Here is a 972-nt window from a genome sequence, read left to right as displayed (position 1 = left end):
GAAAAGTGAGCTGCGCCGCTGGGCGATAAACAGCAGGGCTGCTGGCCCGCCCGCTGACGTCAGGGGAAACTGACACAGATTTAAAGGACCAGGTCCCGCATTTGCCCTTAAAGGGGCTGCAGCTGTCTAGCTGAAGGGGAAAGCTTGCAATGCCTTCTCCAACTCCTACCCAACTCTCTCCCGTGATTTTCACCATCTCTGAAACTCACGTTGGAATAGGCAGATGTTTCTGTTAACAATCTCCAAGTGTTGGGTTCTTGCTGAACAACTCTTACATTTGCTCAAACATAAGGATTCCCCCACCCCCACCACCACCTTTACAACTAACATCGTCCAACCCTGGGCCACTTTTTCTCCGGGGATCTTAAAAAATGAAAAACTCGAAGGATTAGGAAACAGGACGGTGGCCCTACCGGCGGAGGGGAAACGGAGGCAGCACTGCAGGAGGAATCCCCATGCCTTTCCCACCTCCCTCTAGAGGGGCCACACAACTGCAGGGACGGCCTTCCGAGCTTTCCAAGCTTGCCGGGCTGTTTCCCCTCTTCTCTCAGAGACAGTTACAAAACTCATTGAAAGATACTGACCTTCAGTGTAAATTGGTGAAAACTTTTCTACAAAATATTTTGGCACTGTTTCAAGAAACTTAGAGAGCTTTATACCCTTTGATCCAGTAATTCCACTTCTGGACTCTATCCTAAGGAAATAGGAAGCACAGATAAAAATACCTGGGCAGCTACGCTTATCACTGTGATATTTATAATATAAAGCAAAAAGGAAATGACTTGGATATCCATAATGAGGGATTGGTTAAATGCACTATCATGAAGGCATCAAAAATGATGCTTAAGACTTCACAGGACACGTAAGCAGAGAATTCAGGATATGACACTAAATAAACAGTATATAGAGCCAGGTGCCGTGGCTCACACGTGTAATCCCAACACTTTGGGAGGCCAAGACAGGTAGATCACT

At 46.8% G+C, this 972-nt stretch overlaps 1 protein-coding gene across 6 annotated transcripts in view; it reads right to left on the bottom strand.

Annotated features, from left to right (window-relative positions):
• Positions 570–972, bottom strand: part of PAFAH1B2 (platelet activating factor acetylhydrolase 1b catalytic subunit 2) — a 33,887-nt gene continuing 33,484 nt past the window's right edge. For all 6 annotated transcript variants that reach the window (NR_110269.2, NR_110268.2, XM_047427042.1 and 3 more), the window contains one exon: positions 570–694. The gene's annotated coding sequence lies outside the window, so the exon portion shown is untranslated. The remainder of the gene's footprint in view (positions 695–972) is intronic.

The sequence above is a fragment of the Homo sapiens genome, chromosome 11 (assembly GCF_000001405.40).
Source record: "Homo sapiens chromosome 11, GRCh38.p14 Primary Assembly".
NCBI lineage: Eukaryota > Metazoa > Chordata > Mammalia > Primates > Hominidae > Homo > Homo sapiens.
This window is presented reverse-complemented; position numbering and strand designations above follow the sequence as displayed.